At 39.3% G+C, this 18,692-nt stretch overlaps 1 long non-coding RNA gene across 2 annotated transcripts in view, besides 1 other annotated feature; it reads right to left on the minus strand.

Annotated features, from left to right (window-relative positions):
• LOC124906112 (uncharacterized) overlaps positions 1-18,692 on the minus strand; it is a 204,201-nt gene that overhangs the window by 83,228 nt on the left and 102,281 nt on the right. The gene's annotated exons all lie outside the window — the stretch shown is intronic.
• Positions 822-1,742: an enhancer, noted in NCBI's record as "H3K27ac-H3K4me1 hESC enhancer chr2:200919369-200920289 (GRCh37/hg19 assembly coordinates)". NCBI's record gives its function as "activates a minimal SCP1, AML or CMV promoter by ChIP-STARR-seq in naive and primed H9 embryonic stem cells {active_cell/tissue: H9 hESC(naive and primed)}" and the evidence as "EXISTENCE:reporter gene assay evidence [ECO:0000049][PMID:30033119]".

Here is an 18,692-nt window from a genome sequence, read left to right on the forward strand (position 1 = left end):
TGAGACCTAACTTCACTTCATAATTAGTATTTATAGTCCCCAAAGAAAAGACTTGATAGGGATCCCTTACCTTGTCTCACGTAGAACCACCCTTTGGACAAACTTCCCAGGTCAGGCTGTTTGAGAGGTGGTTGTTCTCTCTCAGTGGAGCTGATGAGTGTATGCTTTTGGTTTATCCACTAATTTTTGGTTGCATTGTTGTGGTCTGAATGGCAGGGCTGGTTTCACCCAACATATAAACACTAGATACGTGAGCTTAATGCTGGAAAATATCTCTTGAATCTGCATTCTTTTTCCCTACCAAGAAAGAGTGACAACCGGAGATCATCTAGAAACTTTATGGCTTATCCCATAAATGTGTGGGCTGAAATAAGGTTAGATACTTTTCCTAAATTATCTGGTTCAGTCAGTCAAAGTTGTTGGTACTTAACCTCCAAAATAGAGATAACTGTGGCTTAATAGACTGTCTCAGTAGGAGAAAAGTTCTACATTTTATTTTCAAAATGATTATCAATAGACTTACCTGTCATGTTTGAATTGTAAATGCAGATTAAAATAAGGCTCACTTTATGGGAGCACCACTCTCATGGAGAGAAGGAGTGGCAAGGGAACATCACTCTCTCCAACTGGACCATCCAGGTGGACACTGGGATTCATAAAGGAAACAACTCAACCCATAGAGAATGGAGAGGAGCAAGAGAGGACAACCGCCCACCTGGGAGTGGCACAGAGCCTCCACTGCACTGACACAGAGAGCTCCGTGGAGTTTGGGCAGAGCCACTTGCTCAGACCATTGCAGAGTTCTGGGAGCCTTGAATCCCCAAGCATCCTGGCACCAGTGACTGCATCTCTAGCAATGGGGGAGGCCAGGCTGCCTTGCATGCCCCCAGGACAGGGATCGAATCCCATGGGGCTGAGCAGCAGATGGTCTGCGGGCCTCATCTGTGCTGCACCTTGCTTGGTGGGGCCCACTGGCCTAGGAACCTAGTGCAGCCACCCCAGCCCCGCCTGGGCTGTCGGGCCAGGAGTAGCTCTGCACTTCCCTGGCATGGAGCTCCTGGAGGGAGCAGGCAGGCCGCCATTTTTGCTGCTTTGCAGCCCTCATTCCTGTTGCCCTTGGGCCAGGGAGGGAGCACAGTGATTAGGGACAACGTGGACCCCCAGAAGAGGGCAGCAGACTTGCAGGAAAGCGGCCAGACTATTTTCCAGGTGGGTTCCCACCCCTCGATACTCCTCACTGAGCAGGGCCTCCAGACCTGAGACTCCAGGCACTCGCAGCCTGGGCTCTCGGGTAGTGGCTACTTCCCTGGGACGGAGCTCCCGGAGGGAGCATATAGGCCAACATTTTTGTTGTTTGGCATCCCTCATCCCTCGCTCCTGTTGCCTTCGGTCTAGGGAGGGAGCACACTGATTAGGAACTAACATGTGCCCCCAGCACAGTGCAGCTGCCTTACAGAAAAGGAGTCAGAGTGTTTTCCACACAGGTCCCCGCCCCCACCACTCCTCACTGGGCAGTGCCTCTAGACCTGGGACTTCAGCACAACCACCCTGCCTCCACCTGAATACTTCAGTTGGTGGTGGCTCTGCCTTTCCTTGGGGAGAAAATCCCAGAGAGAACCCACAGCCCCTCTGCCATTGCAGCTGCAGTGGTACCACTCTTAATGCCCTTGGGCTACGGAGGGAACAAAGGGCCTGAGGGATTTACTCGCACTTCTGGCATACCACAGTCTCCATACCGAGAGGAGCCTCGTCTCTACTCCTTGTGAGCGCTTGACCTCCTGCTCTTCACTAAGCGGCGGGGCCCCAGCCCCTGCCAGCAGTGCAGCCACCCCATCCACTGGCTGAACCCTCCCAGTAGCAGTAGAACCCCTGCAAGATACTGAACAAGAAGACCATCCCCAAGACACACAGTCATCAGATTATCCAAAGTCAACACCAAGGAAAAAATGTTAAAGGCAGCTAGAGAGAAGGGATAATTCATCTACAAAGGGAACCCCGTCAAGCTAACAGCAAACCTTTCAACAGAAACCCTATAAGCTAGAAGAGATTGGGGGCCTATATTCAGCATTCTCCATTGAGGTGGAGTTCCCAGAGGCAACTGAAAGCCCCTCTGCCACTGCTGCTGCAGTGGTACTGCCCTTGCTGCCCTCAAACTGGGGAAGGAACAAAGACCCTAAATGCTTTACTCACACCTCCAGCAAGTCACAGCCTCCCTAAGGAGAAGAGGCTAGTCTGTCTTCCCCATGAGTCCCCCACATCCTCTGCCTGTCAACAGGCAGAGTCCCCCAGCTTGGGCCCACAACAGACTCCCCAGCCCCCAGGAATATCACACTGATTGGCAGCAGCTCTGCATATCTCTGGGGTGAAGAGACAAGTGAAAGGCCCTCTGCCATAGCCACTGCCAAGGTCTCTTCCCCTGATGCTTCCAAGGTTGGGAGGGAACATAAAGCCTGAGTTCACTGCAGGACAGCGGTGTGCAGCCTGGGACTGCTAAGCCAAGATCTGCAGCCAGCATTCTAGTGGGGAAAGCTCACACTTTCAGACCACTGAGAGGAAGTGTGGCTGCAATTGTGAGGAAATACAGAGAAGACACGTGGCTGGGCAAGAAACTACGTATTAGCCATTACACATAAGTGCCATTTACTAGATTACAGCTCAAACTTCAACACCAAAAATACTTTGCTAACATACTCCCCTGTGAAACTAAGGACAATAATTCAGCTGCAAATAAAGACCCCACACAAAGCCGCAGCTCTCTGAAAACATCCCAAAAAGAAGCCAACTGACTATTCTCAAATTATTCCACAGTTAAAGGAACATCGGCCCACACAGATGAGAAAGAATCAGTGCAAGAACTCTGGCAACTCAAAAAAAAACAGAGTGTCTTCTTTCCTCCAAAGGACCATACCAGTTCCCCAGCAAGCATTCTTAACCAGGATGAAATGGCTGAAATGACAAATATAATTCAGAATATGGACAGGAACAAAGATCATTGAGTTTCAGAAGAAAGTCAAAACCCCACCCAAGTAATCTAAGGCTTACAATACAACGATACAGGAGTCACAAGGCAAAATGACTATCATAAGAAGACCCAAACTGATCTGATAGAGCTGGAAAAAACACTACAAGAATTTCATAATACAATCACAAGTATTAATGACAGAATAGACCAAGCTGAGGAAAGACTCTCAGAGTTCAAAGACTGGATCTCTGAACTAACTCAATAAGACAAAAATAAAGAAAAAAATAATAAAAAAGAATGAACAAAGCCTCCGAGACATATGGGATTATGTAAAGAGACAAAATGTACAACTCATTGGCATCTCTGAAAGAGAGAGGGAGAAAGCAAGCAACTTGGAAAAGATATCTCAGGATATCATTCAAAATTCCCCCAAACTCATTAGAGAGGCTGGCATTCAAATTCAAGAATGTAAAGAACCCCTGCAAGATACTGCTCAAGAAGACCATCCCTAAGACACACAGTCATCAGATTATCCAAAGTCAAAACAAAGGAAAAAATGTTAAAGGCAGCTGGAGAGAAGGGACAGTTCATCTACAAAGGGAACCCCATCAAGCTAACAGCAAACCTTTCAGTAGAAACCCTACAAGCCAGAAGAGATTAGCGGCCTATATTCAGCATTCTTGAAGGAAAGAAATTCCAACCAAGAATCTCATATCCAGCCAAACTAAGCTTCATAAGCAAACAAGAAATAAGATCCTTTTCAGACAAGCAAATGCTAAGGGAGTTTGTTACCAGCAGACCTGCCTTACAAGAGGTCCTGTAGGGAATGCTAAATATGGAAAGGAAAGACTGTTACTGGCCACTACAAAAACATACTTAACTACATAGACCATTGACACTACAAAGCAACCACACAAACAAGTCTTCATAATAAGCAGCTAACAACATGATGATAGGATCAAATCCACACATATCAATACTAGCCTTGAATGTAAATGGGCTAAATTCTCCATTTAAAAGGCATAGAGTGTCAAGTTGGATAAAGAAGCAAGACCCAATAGTACGCTCTCTTCAAGAGACCTATCTCACATGCAATGATACTCATAGCCTCAAAATAAAGAAATGGAGAAAAATCTACCAAGCAAATGGAAAAGAGAAAAAAGTAGGGGTTACTATTCTAATTTCAGACAAAACAGACTTTAAATCAACAAAGATCAAAAAAGACAAAGAAGGGAATTAGATAATGGTAAAAGGTTCAATTAAACAGGAAGACTTAACTATCCTAAATATATATGCCCCTAACACAGGAGCACCCAGATTCATAAACCAAGTTCTTTGACATCTATGAAGGAACTTGGATAATGCTGGTATTATCCAAGGGATTTATGAAGGGACACAATAATGCTGGTAGACTTCAGCACCGTCACTGACAGTAATAGACAGATTATTGAGGCAGAAATCTAAAAAATATATTCAGGACCTAAACTTGACACTTGACCAAGTATACCTAATAGACATCTACAGAACTCTCTGCCCCAAAACAACAGAATATACATTTCCCTCATTTGCACATGGCACATACTCTAAAATCAACTACACAGTAGGACATAAAACAATCCTCAGCAAATTCAAAAAATCCCCTGTCAGACCACAACACAATAAAAATAGAAATCAATTCTAAGAAAATTGCTCAAAACCATAAAATTACATGGAAATTAAACAACCTACTCTTAAATGAACTTTGGGTAAACAATGAAATTAAGGCAGAAATCAAGAAAAGAAATTTTTTTAACTAATGAGAATAAAGTTACAACATACCAGAATCTCTGGGACATAGCTACAGCAGTGTTAAGAGGGCAGTTTATAACATTAAACACCCACATCAAAAAGTTAGAAAGATCTCAAATTAACAACCTAACAGCACACCAAAAGGAACTAGAGAAACAAGAGCACACCAACCCCAAAGCTCATAGAAGACAAGAAACCATCAAAATCAGAGCTGAACTCAAGGAAATTGAGATGCAAAAAAAAAAAAAAAAAAAAAAAAAACCAAAAACGAATCCAGGAATTGGGTTTTTGAAAAGAATTAGCATTATATACAGATAAACCACTAGCTAGGCTAATAAAGAAAAAAGAGAGAGAAGATCCAAATAAACATATTTGGAAATAACAAAGGGGATGTCACCACTGACCCCACAGCAATACAAAACCCCTCAGAGACTACTGCAAACACCTCTATGCACACAAGCTAGAAAACCCAGAAGAAATGGATAAATTCTGGGAAAATACAACCACCCAAGACTGAACCAGAAAGAAATTGAATGCCTGAACAGACCAATAATGAGTTCCAAAATTAAATCAGTAATAAAAAGCCTACCAACAAGAAAAAGCCCAGGACCCAACAGATTCAGAGCTGAATTCTACCAGATGTATAAAGAAGAGCTGGTACCACTCATACTAAAACTATTCCAAAATATTGAGGAGGAAGGACTCCTCCCTAGGGCCTTCTATGAGGCCAACATCATTCTGATGCCAAAATCTGGCAGAGACACAACAACAATAAAAAACAAAATTTCAGACCAATATCTTTTATGAACATAGATGCAAAAATTCTCAACAAAATACTAGGAAACTGAATGCAGCAGCACATCAAAAAGCTAATCCACCATGATCAGGCAGGCTTTATCCCTGAGATGCAAGGTTGGTTCAATATAGGCAAATCGATAAATGTGATTCATCACGTTAACAGAACTAAAAACAAAAAATCACATAATTATCTCAATAGATGCAGAAAAGGCTTTCAATAACATTCAACATCCCTTTATGTTAAAACCATCAAAAAACTAGACATCAAAGGAACATATCTCAAAATAATAAGAGTCATCTAATGACAGACTCACAGCCAGTATTATACTGAACAGGCAAAAGCTGGAAGCATTCCCCTTGAGAACTGGAACAAGACAAGGATTCCCACTTTTACCACTCCTATTCAGCATAGTACTGGAAGTCCTAGCCAGAGCAACAAGGCAAGAGAAAGAAATAAAAGACTTCCAAAATAGGAAGAGAGGAGGTCAAACTATCCCTGTTTATAGATGATATAATTCTATACCTAGAAAATCCTATAGCCTCTACCCAAAAGCTCATTGATCAGATAAACAACCTCAGGAAAGTCTCAAGATACAAAATCAATGTACAAAAATTGGTAGCATTCCTATACACCAACAACATCCAAACTGAGAGCCAAATCAATAATACAATCCCATTCATAATAGCCACAAAAAGAATAAAATATCTAGGAAAACAGCTAGCCAGGAAGGTGAAAGATCTTTACAATGAGAATACAAAACACTGCTTAAAGAAATCAGAGATGACACAAACACATGGAAAAATATTCTGTGCTCATGGATAGGAAGATTCAATATTGTTAAAATAGCCATACTGCCAATGCAATTTACAGATTCAATGTTATTCATATCAAACTACCAATGACATTCTTTTCAGAATTAGAAAAATCTATTTTAAAATTCATATGGCACCAAAAAAGAGCCTGAATAGCCAAGGGTATCCTTAACAAAAAGAATAAAGCTGGAGGCATCATGTTACCTGACTTCGAACTATACTAAAGGCTACAGTAACCAAAAAAACATGAAACTGGTGCAAAACCAGGCACATAGACCAATAGAGCAGACTAGAGGGCCCAGAAATAATGCCACACATCTACAACCATCTGATCTTTGACAAAGTTGACAAAAACAAGCAATGGGGAAAGGACCTCCTATTCAATAAATGGTGCTGGGGTAACTGGCTACCCATATGCAAAGGACTGACCCCTTCCTTACACTATATACGAAAATCTATTCATGATGGATTAAAGACTTAAATGTAAAACTTAAAACTATAAAGACTCTGGAAGATAACCTAGGAAATACTCTTCTGGACATAGACCCTGGCAAACATTTCATGATGAAGATGCCAAAAGCAATTTCAACAAAAATAAAAATTGACAAATGGGACCTAATTAAACTAAAGAGCTTCTGCATAGCAAAAGAAACTATCAACAAAGTAAACAGACAAGGCATAGAATGGGAGAAAATGTTTGCAAACTATGCATCTGATTCTAAGCATCTATATTCTTATAGATTCTAATATCCAGAATTTATAAATAGCTTAAACAAAGTAAGAAGCAAAAAACAAATAACCCCATTAAAAAGTAGGCAAAGGACATGAACAGATGCTTTTCAAAAGAAGACATACACATGACCAACAAGCACATGAAAAAATGTTCAACATCATGGATCATTAGAGAAAGGCAAATCAAAAGCATAATGAGATACCATCTCACAAAAATCAGAATGGCTATTATTAAAAAGTAAAAAAATAACAGATGTTGGTGAGGTTGCAGAGAAAAAGGAATGCTTATACACTGCTGGTGGGAATGTAAATTAGTTCAGCTGTTGTGGAAAGCAGTGTGGTGATTTCTCAAATAACAAAACAGAATTACCATTTGACCCAGCAATTCCATTATTGGATATATACCAAAAGGAATATAAATTGTTCTACCATAAAGACATATGCATGTATAGGTTCATCACAGCAATATTCACTGTAGCAAAGACATGGAACCAACTTAAATGCCCATCAAGAGCAGACTGGATAAAGAAAATGTGGTACACATACAGCATGGAATACTATACAGCCATAAAAAGAACAAAATCACATCCTTTTTAGCCATTATCCCTAGCAAGACAACCCAGGAACAGAAAATCAAATACCACAAATAATAAGTGGGAGCTAAAGATTGAGAACACATAAACACAAAGAAGGGAACAGACACCAGGGCCTACTTGAAGGTGGAGAGTGAGAAGAAGGAGAGGATTGAAAAACTTCCTATCAGGTATTATGCTTATTATTTGAGTGGTGAAATAATCTGTACACCAAACCCCTGTGACATGCAATTTACCTATATAATAAAACTGTACATGTAGCTCTGAACAAGAAATATACTTTCTGTTTCCATTTTCCTATCTGTAAAACAGGGGTAATAATAGCTTCCTCATAAAGTTCTGAGGATTAAATTAGCTAATACAAATAAAGTACTTAAAACAGTCCCTGGCATGTGCTAAGTACTTAATTCATGTTGGATATTATATTATTAATAATTGCAAATATAAAATAAAGAACATTCTACAACAACAGAGAAAGACAAAGACTTCTGAAGAAGGTATGTACTCTGAATCCACTAGATAATCAATTTGAAGAGTAAAGTTTTTTAAAAACCTGAGACTGGAAAACATACTAAAATTTTGCTCTTCAAAGTGTGTGGTCCATAGACCAGCAACATTGACATCAGCCAGGAGCTCATTAGCAATGCAGACTCTCAGGCCCCAGCCCAGACCTACCCAACCAGTTGTCTTGACAAGATGCCTAGGTGGTTTCTAAGTACATTAGCGTACACTACTGTTTTATGTTTTTTAGATGTAACTTTTTTAGGAGATAATTTTTTTCAACAGGTTTTTATCTTCAGGCTATGTCATTGAATGGAATATTGATATACCTAATTTTCTTTTATATTTCCTATAAAAATTCCACTTTGAAAAGCTCTATTTATCATGACTGTCTAGGGCACACTTTGTAGAAGAGCAACATAGAAATAGAGCAGAAAGAGCAGAAACACCTTAGTTTGCATCCCTACCCCTCATTTCTGTCATCAGAGTGAAGGCCAAAATGTCTTCCCACCTGTTGACCAAGAGGCAGACCTGCCTCCCCAAATGCCCAGACACACTGTCTTTGCCTTCCTTGCTTTGTACCTAAAAGGAGATGTGTTTCTGCAGCTCCAACGTCAGTTTTCTTCTCTCTTTTAAGGCCAACTCTTTCTCCAATAACATACAGGCTGCTCTTGGCTTTGGAGCCCTCCACCTGCTTATCACTCCTGCCCAGTGGATGGTCCTGTCTCATTGATGGCTCACCTCACTTCTGGATGGAACCAGGGCTTGGGAGGGGTAGTCATCTGCATGTGCTAGGGTATCCTCTGTGACAGCCTTCGTGGAGCATATGAGTGAGAGGCATCACTACCGCCACTTCTGATAGAGAAGAAATTATTGCCAACAAGGGAATCAGTTGTGGTAGGATGCACAAGCATGCACGTGCACGCGCACACACACACTACACACACATCCAGATACACACACATACACCACACACATTCATACACTGCACCACACACACACATACACATGCATATATACATACTCCTCTCCCAAGGACACACATTGGTTTTTAGAGAAAGTACAATCGAAATCAGTGTTTTTCAACCTAAGATCTAGGAATGTATTTTTTCCTTTCCAAGATAACATTTTTTGCCTTTAAAAACAAAAGAGTGTTTACATTTAGAAGCACTGGTCTTAATCCTTAGGAAGGAATAGAACCCTTTTCCTAATTGCCCTGTAATTTTTCAAACCAGCCTGTCTCACAACAGCAATATTTTGATGATTACATTACAGCTTCATCCCCTAAGCTCTGCCCTATCTCATAATCTGAATGAACACCCATCTCCTAATGGCTGCTCCCTGGCCACCCTGCAGCCCTGTAAGAGACTGCTTCATCTCCCAGGCTCAGAGAGCCGACCTCAAACTCCCTCTCTTTCTGTCCCTCTCTGAACCTGCTTGACAGGAGGGCAAGGAGATTATTTTCCTCCTGTCACCTGGTGGTAAACAGAAAAGCAGCCCAGACTGAGGAGTCGATTGGCTGCCTGGCGGCTGCCCACCACAACAGAACTGGGGTCTTGCTCTCCTTGGAGGTCTTAGCATCATGTTGGCCCCGCTTCTTGTCTGGGGTTGGAGTTGACTGCAAAGCATTGATTCCCTAAGGAATTGGAATGGTGTGAAGGGCTGACTTTTCTTTCTAAGATATTTACTTTGGGATGTTTGCAGACATTTTTCCTAATTCTAAAGGAAAATCATCTACATAGAAGACTGTGATGGAAATACAGGAATGGCATCCCAGGGACCTGGTAGTGTGCCCCCTTTCTCAGCCTCAAGCCCTTAACTATAAAATCAGCTAAAATACCTCATAATGCTGAAAAACAGTATGTTTTTCTTAAATATGTGGTACATGGTTTATTTCATATTTTTTCACACAATTTATTGTTTAAAATTTATATTCTACCTTGTCTCAGAAAGGATTTCAGGGGTGTTACAAGGGTACGTAAAATAACAAGATAGCATACATTAGAAATACGTGAAGAACAAAAGGGGAAAACAAAGACGGGGCATAAAAGGGAACCAGGCTGTAGTTAGAACTTCCAGGCATCCCTTGAAGTCTTGCCCTTTTGCTTCAGGAAAATGTTGCAGATTGCTTTTGCAACCCAATAAGGCAAATGAAAGGAAAGGAACATAACTCTCCTTATGAGCAAGGCAATCAGTAATAGCATCTGTAGCAGGTGTGGAAAAACCTTTTTGTTTCTAAGCACCACTGACCTGCCAAAAATTTAATCAAAGATTTTGTGTAAGTACAAGACAACTGATTGTGAGTTTTTGTTGTTGTCATTTGGAGATGGACATAGATAGATAGATAGATAGATAGATAGATAGATAGATAGATAGATAGATAGAATAGCTCTATAAATTAAGATATGTATATATATGATTATTCTATAAATTAAAAGCGGACACATTATATATAGAATACAAAAACATTCAATAAATTAGAACATATAGAAATCAACCTATTACAGTTCCATAGTATAGTCAGTTCTTTAACCAAAGGGGCAGAATTCCACTAAGTGAGACCCACAGGGGCTGGAACACACTGTCACAAAGAGAAGGAGCACACAACTATTGCTCTGAGGAGCAAGGAAGCTCAAAGTTTTGAACTTCAAAATGAATGAGTGGGCTGGTCTGATTTTAAAACAAGGCAACCTGATTTTAAAGTCTGATTTTAAAACAAGTGCTGGCAAGATATGCCTGAAAGTGATGCCTAAAAGGGTTGCTATTTGAAGCCAGTTCCAATGCCTCGTTTGTCCACTGGGTAGGGGTGGTGGTGGGCGGAAAAGGTTTTATTCTATGGGCAAAGAACTAAAACCACAGACATCACCGTGTAAGATCCAGATAAGTTCTGCCTTACCTTTTTAGCCTCATATTTTGCCAGCCTCCATGACACTAGACACAATCCCAAACATGTATTTACATCCACACACTCACATACACACTACTCACACACACACTACTCACACACACATCAAACATGCTCACACACACTAATATATACACATACATTCACACATAACCACACAATACACAAATGCATATACATACACATATACATTCACACATAAACTCACACATACACATACAAAAACACAGCCATATGCATACATTCATACAGACACACATTCATACATACACACACACTAACACACATTCATACAGATGCATACACTCACATACACACACACTGGGCCGTTGAAGATTTCAGAAGAGGCCTCTCATTGCCAGTCCCAAGCACAAGCTGAACCCCTATTTACAGAGTCCTCCTCTTTCCCACCCCCATTGCCCTCACTTTTCCCAGAGAACCCTGCCTGTCCTATATGATCCAACTTAAATGTAACTTCCTTCCAGAAGCTTTCTCTCCAAATCCTGGACTGATAACTTCCTTCAGACAACGGCTTTCACAGGTTCGTTCAAAGCAGTACACAAAAAAGATGCATTGCCATAACATCCAACAAAGAAGATTTGAAAAGTCTACAATGTCAGAGCCCTGCCAGGACACTCTGACAGCCCTTCAACCACCTGACACCAAGTACACAATGTGGGACCAGCACAGAGAAAGCAGAAGAGATTAGAAAATTCAGATGGATGGCAACAGATGGAATATTTATTTATTTCAAATGCTTTTTTGCTGGGAGAGACACATGAGATGTATATCTTATTTCCAGAGCAGTCTCAGGGGAAACAGCTGTCATGCAGTTTCATTCCAGAACTCTTTAGTACAGTACAAACAACGTAATGGAGGACAGACAGTCTAAATAGCAGACCACAATACAGAGCCGCCTCAATTGCAGTTCATTTTACCCTGTAACTTCTTCTTAACATGGAGTGAAATGTTCCCTACAATAAAACAGTGCAGTGACCTTTGCGTATTAAATCAGATTTCATGCTCCAGAACTGTGATTAAAATATTCCCATGCTACTTTTTCCTCCCAAATGGAACCAAAGTGCTTTAAGAAAATTTACTGAATCCTTGAAAACCAAATGATCCCTTAATAGCCTTAGGTAAGTTACTGCAAAATTTAATTTCTGCTAACCTACCTGAGATTGCAAACAGAAAAATAAACGTGTGATACTTACCTGCCTGCTGCATTCTCCTCTCTGACCCACACTTCAGAGTGTGCCATACTCTTGTAAAACAATCAAGGATGCCTATTGTCTTGCAGTGACTCCAGGCACCTGTAGCATTGACTTTTGTCCCTCTTGGGCCATAGATAGAAATACTCATGGTTCACCCTTTAAGAGCCCATTTATCTTGTTAAGAAGGTCATTCTGCAACTTTTTTCTTAACCAGAATGAACACCGACTTGTTTCTGAGAGTCTGATCATTAAGAACAAAATAATAGATACCAAGGATTATATATTTATTTAAAACATTGTATCTGTACATTTAATCATTTATTGTATTGGTATGGTTTAAAATATGTGTGTGTGTGTGTTTTAAATCTCGAATCTCTATTCTCCCCCTGCCTTTTTAGACAACAGCACCATGCTGTCCTTTTAGTGAATTATGTCTCCCCACTTTGTGGGCCCTTGGTGCAGCCATTAATCAAGGCATGCTTCTCTCCTCTAGTCAAAGGGCAGGCCAGTGAGCAAGACTAGAGCAATTTTGAGTTAATTGATAGGAAAAGAAAATAGTTGGCACTGACCCCTTTCAGGGCTGGAACCCTGATGAGTTAGTATCTAATTAGGGGCCATAGATTGGTTTCTGCTATCTAGTTCTCCGGAACTACCCTGAATGCTGTTCCCTTCCCAGCCTGGGTTTGCAGACTTTCCTTCAATTCTGTATGCAACTAATACCTTTTTAATGTATATATTTTTTTCTGCTTGATAAACCAGAATAAATTTTGGTGCTTGGAACCAAAGAATCCTTATTATGAAAGAGCTTACAACCAGATGTGATGTTAAGGATAAAGACAGGGAACATTACAAAAATAGAGAAAACAACAGCTCACTGTTAGTAAGCAACAATGGGAGGATAGCTAGCAAGAATCACAGCCAAAATCATGCCACAGACTCAGTCCAGGGAGAGGCGAGCACTGCTGGTACCAATCTTCACCAACTGGTGCAGCAGCCCTGAACTCTGGATATCACTGCTGTCCCCATGGCATTACTGCCTCTGAATAATGGATATGATTGCTGCCTGTTCCACCAAAACAGAAATTTTTACTGTCCCAAGTAAAAGATCCAGTGGGTGCATCTAATTGACTGAGTCAAGGTTACATGCTCACACTGAAGCTTTCTAAGGGTGTTAGAGTATCTTGCCATTTCCACTGTTAGTAAACGTTCCCAGTTAGTAAACTTGATTGAATTAAAAATTTCATTCCACATCAGAAACCCCAACACCAAGGTATCCATCCAAGTTGTACCTGCATTCTTGACCCACGGAAACTGTGAGAGAATAAATATTTGCTGTTTTAATATACTATGTTTAAGAGCAATTGACAACTAATAAACACTCCAATTAAAAAACAGGGATATTCCAACTGAATATAAAAGTAAGACTCAACTATATGCTGCCTAGAAGAAACATACTCTATAAAGACATAAATAGTTTAAAAGTAAAAATGTGGAAAAAGATGTATCAGGTTAACAATAATGAAAGACAGCTGGAGTGGCTCTATTAGTAATAAATAAAGTAGATTTCAGAGCAAAAATATAACCAGGGAAAAATATGATCATTTCATAATGATGAAGGAGTCAATTCACCAAGAAGACATAATAATCCTAAATGTTTATGCACCCATAATGGAGCTTCAAAATATATGAAGCAAAAACATACAGAACCAGATACATCACAATTATACTAGAAGATTTCAACACCCCTTTAGCAATAGTTGATAGAATAGTTAGAAAATTAGTAAAGTTATAAAAGGCTTGAACAATACTATCAACCAACCTGACCTAATTTTTTTGTTTTTTGAGACAGGGTCTCATTTTGTTACCCAGAGTGGAGTACAGTGGCATGATCATGGCTCACTGCAGCTTCAACCTCTCAGGTTCAAGTGGTTTTCCCACTTCAGCCTCCCAAATAGCTGAGAGTACAGGCATGCACCACCATGCCCACCTAGCTTTTTAATTTTTTGTGGAGACTGGCTCCCACTATGTTACCCAGGTTAGTTTCAAACTCCTGGGCTCAAGTGATCCTCCTGCATTGGTCTCCCAAAGTGCTGGGATAATAGGTATGAAGCACTGTGCCTAGCCAGCCTGACTTAATTGATATGTATAGAACATGCCACCAACAGCAGAATATACATTCTCTTCAAGTACACACAGAACATTTAGTAAGATAGGCATTCTGAATTATAAAATACATCTCAGTAGATTTAAAGGACTTAAATCATGTTCTCTGACTACAGTGAAATTAAATTTGAGATCAATAACAGAAAGTACACTGGAAAAAAACCCAAATATTTGAATACTAAGTAACACACCTCTAAAAAAAACTTAGGGGGTCAAAGAATAAATAAAAAGGAAAATTATAATGTATTTTGCACTGAATGATCAAAACACAGCATATCAAAATTTGTAGGGGCAGTGAAAGCAGTACTTAGAGGGAAATTTATAGTGCTAATTGCCTATATTAAAGAAAAGAAGGTCTCAAATCAGTGACCTTGGTTTCCATGTTAAGAAACTGGAAAAACAAGAGGAGACAAAAATATAAGTAGCATAAGAAAGTCTGTAGTAGAAGTAATGAACAAGTAAAAAGTATTAGAAGAGAGGAAATTATAAATATCAGAACAGAAATCAATGAAATAGCAAACAGAAAAAAATAAACAACAAAGAGCAAACAGGAAAAAACCTGTTCTTTGAAAATATCAATAACACTGATAAATGTTTAACTAGACCAATACAGAAAATAAGAGAGAAGACACAAATAACAAAATTACCTTATATCTATTAAAGAAATACAATTTTAATAAATTTGAATCATCATAAAGAAGACTTCAAGCCCAGATGGCTTTGTTGGCAAATTCTACTAAACATTTAAGGAAGAAATAATACCAATTTCACATAAAATATTCCAGAAAACTAAAGGAGGAGGGATAATTTCCTTCTCCCGCTATGAGGCCAGAATTATGATACAAAAGATAGGCAAAGATATTATTAAAAAAAGAAAACTGGCCGGGCATGGTGGCTCACACCTGTAATCCCAGAAATTTGGGAGGCCGAGGCAGGTGGATTATCTGAGGTCAGGAGTTCAAGACCGGCCTGCCCAACATGGTGAAACCTCATCTCTACTATAAATACAAAAAATTAGCCAGGCATGGTGGCAGGCCCTTGTAATCCTAGCTACTCAGGAGGCTGAGGCAGGAAAATCGCTTGAACTCAGGAGGCAGAGGTTACAGTGAGCTGAGATTGTGCCATTGCACTCCAGCCTGGGTGACAAGAGCGAAACTCTATCTAAAAAAAAAAAAAAAAAAAAAAAAAGGCCAAATCCCTCATGAACATAGATGAAAAAATTCTTAATAATATTTTAACAATTTCAATTCAACCATACAAAACAAAAATATCATGCCAAGTGGGGTTTAGATGAGGACTGCAAATTTGATTTAATAGTTGACAATTATTCAATGTATTTTTAGCATATGAATAGACTAAAGAAGAATAGTCATATGATCATTTCAATAGATGCAGAAAAAGTATCTGATGAAATCCAACATCCATTCATAATAAAAACTAGAACTAGAGGAAATCTGAAAGAAATTATGTGGCTGACATCATACTTAATGGTGAAAAACTGAATGTTTTGCCCCCATACTAGGAATAAGGCAAGGATGTCCATTCTCATTTCTCTTCAACATTGTACTGAAGGTTCTAGCCAGGGCAATCAGTGAGAAAAAGAAATAGAAGACATATATTTTGGAAGAGAAAAAGAATCAAAGTTATCCTAATTCACAGGTGACTATGATCATCTTCAAAGAAAATCTGAAAGAATCTACAAAAACTGGTACCAGAACTAATAAGTTTCAGGATATAAAGTCAATATATAAAATTAATTGTGTTTGTAAATACTAGCAGTGAACAATGGGAAATTAAAATTTTTTTTAAATTATCAATTATATAAGCATTAAAATATGACTTATGGATAAATCTCACAAAAGATGTACAATATCTATAAACTGAAAACTATAAAACATTTCTGAGAAAAACCAAAGAAGACCTAAATAAATGAAGCTATATACCATGTTCATGAATGGGAAGCATCAATATTGTTAAGATATTAATTCTTTCCAAGTTTATCTATGGATTCAATACAATCCTGCTAAAAAATCCCAACAGAATTTTTTGTATAAATTGATAAGCTATTTCTAAAATTCATGCAAATATACTAGAATAACTAAAACAACTTTGTAAAAAAAAAAAAAAAGTTAAAGTACTTACACTTCCTGGCTTCAAGACTTACTATAAATCTATAGTGAGCAAGATGGGTGGTAAAGATAACAGATCAATGGAACGGAAAAGACCCCTTAAATAGACCCATGCATATAAAGACTATTATATTCCAAGAAATGTGTAAGTATGGAGAAAATGTGTGTTTTTTCCTACCCTTTTTAACAAGGGTGAAGAAAGGATGGTCTATTCAACAAGGTACTGGAACAATTGGGCTATCCATATGCAAAAATATGAACTTTGAAACATAACTTGCACCATATACAAAACTTACCTGAAAATGAATCACATATGTAAATGTAAAACTGAAGAGTATACAACTTTTAGCAGAAAACATAGGAGAAAATCTTTGTGTGTTTGGGTTGGGTAAAGATTTCTTCCGTATAACACCTGATAGATTATTGTAACGATTAAATAAAATAATAAGAGGAAAGCTCTTAGGAGAATACCCATGGAATATGCAATAAATGTAATCTCTTATTGTTAAATGCATGCATTACTTTGAGGTTTTGAATATTTTTAAATTTGAACCTTATAATGACCAAAGGTGGTAGGAAGGGATTATTAGCCACATTTCTATAAAATAAGAAACTGAAGTTCAGAGAGGTTAATGACTTAAGTTATTCAAAGTTACCATATTAGACAAAAGTGAATTTAGCTTCAAGTTTGTTAGCTTCTCTTGGGTAACAGAAACCTTTAACAAATATGAGTTAATTTCTCTCAAATAACATAAAATTGGGTGGAGGGCATTGCTGGTGTTGGCTCAGTGGCTACACAGTCAAGTCAGTTTTCAAATCATGGCTCAAGGTACACGGCTTTTGATTGTTTTGACTTTCCTCTTAGAGATGTGAGAAGGCTACTGCATCTCCATACACCCACTCAGAGGAAGTTCAGCCCAGAGGGCTTTTCTTCACATCTTTCTCTCATCATGGAAGAGATATCTTTTCTGGTAACCCCACAGACTTCCTCTTACTTCTCACTGTCTAGAGGTGAGTTATAATTTCCATCCCTGGGTTAGTGGCTGGGTCCACTCTCCTTGAGATGGAAGAATCTCTTTCATCTCATCACACACTTGAATAAAATTGGGATTTTGCTAGTAGGGAAAACAGGACTAACTTCATTACCAGTATCCACCACAACCACGCAGACGATCATGGAGATGCCTGGATTCAAACTGGGTTTTATGACTTCAATTCTAGTCTACTTGCCACTACATAAAACCAGCCTAGCATGATGGCACTGTGCTAGCATTGGGCTACAAGGATGAAAAGCCATATTCCACGACCTCAAGAATATTCTCTGAGAAGACAGAAAACAGTTATAATAATAAGCAAATAAAATACTTGCTTTGGAGATATATATATATCTCACATTGTGGTAGATGGAGATGTCAGACTGGAGGAGTAAAGCCTCCCAAAGTAGCATTTGAAGAGTGAGTAGGAGTGAGTAGGCATTTACCAGGTAGACTTGACTGATGGTGAGTAAGGAGTGCCCAGTATAATCAAAGGCATGGAGGTGCAAACAATATGACATTTTCAGAATTCGATATTACTTTATTAAAGCTTAAAATACAAGAGATGTGCATTAGTTTGTTCTCATGCTGCTATAAAGAACTGCCCGAGACTGGGTAAATTATAAAGGAAAGAGGTTTAATTGACTCACAGTTCCACAGGACTGGGGAGGCCTCAGGAAACTTACAATCATGGCAGAAGGGGAAGTAAACATGTCCTTCTTCACATGGCAGCAGGGAAGAGAAGAATGAGAGCTGAGTGAAGGGGGAAGCCCTGTATAAAGCTTACTCACTATCACGAGACTAGCAAGGGGCAAAATCACCCCTATGATTTAATTACCTCCCATCAGGTCCCTCTCAGGACACATGGGGATTATGGGAGCTACAATTCAAGATAAGATTTGGGCAGGGTCACAGCCAAACCATATCAAAATGAATAATTGGACTACCAAAAATTGAAGCTGGACAGGGAGGCTGCATATGTACTGTAGTTGATGGGACACAAACAAAAAAAGAAGTCTGTTTGATCAGGGAATTTCAATTTGGTCAGGGAAGGTGATTG

This window comes from Homo sapiens, chromosome 2 (assembly GCF_000001405.40).
Source record: "Homo sapiens chromosome 2, GRCh38.p14 Primary Assembly".
Taxonomy (NCBI): Eukaryota; Metazoa; Chordata; class Mammalia; order Primates; family Hominidae; genus Homo; species Homo sapiens.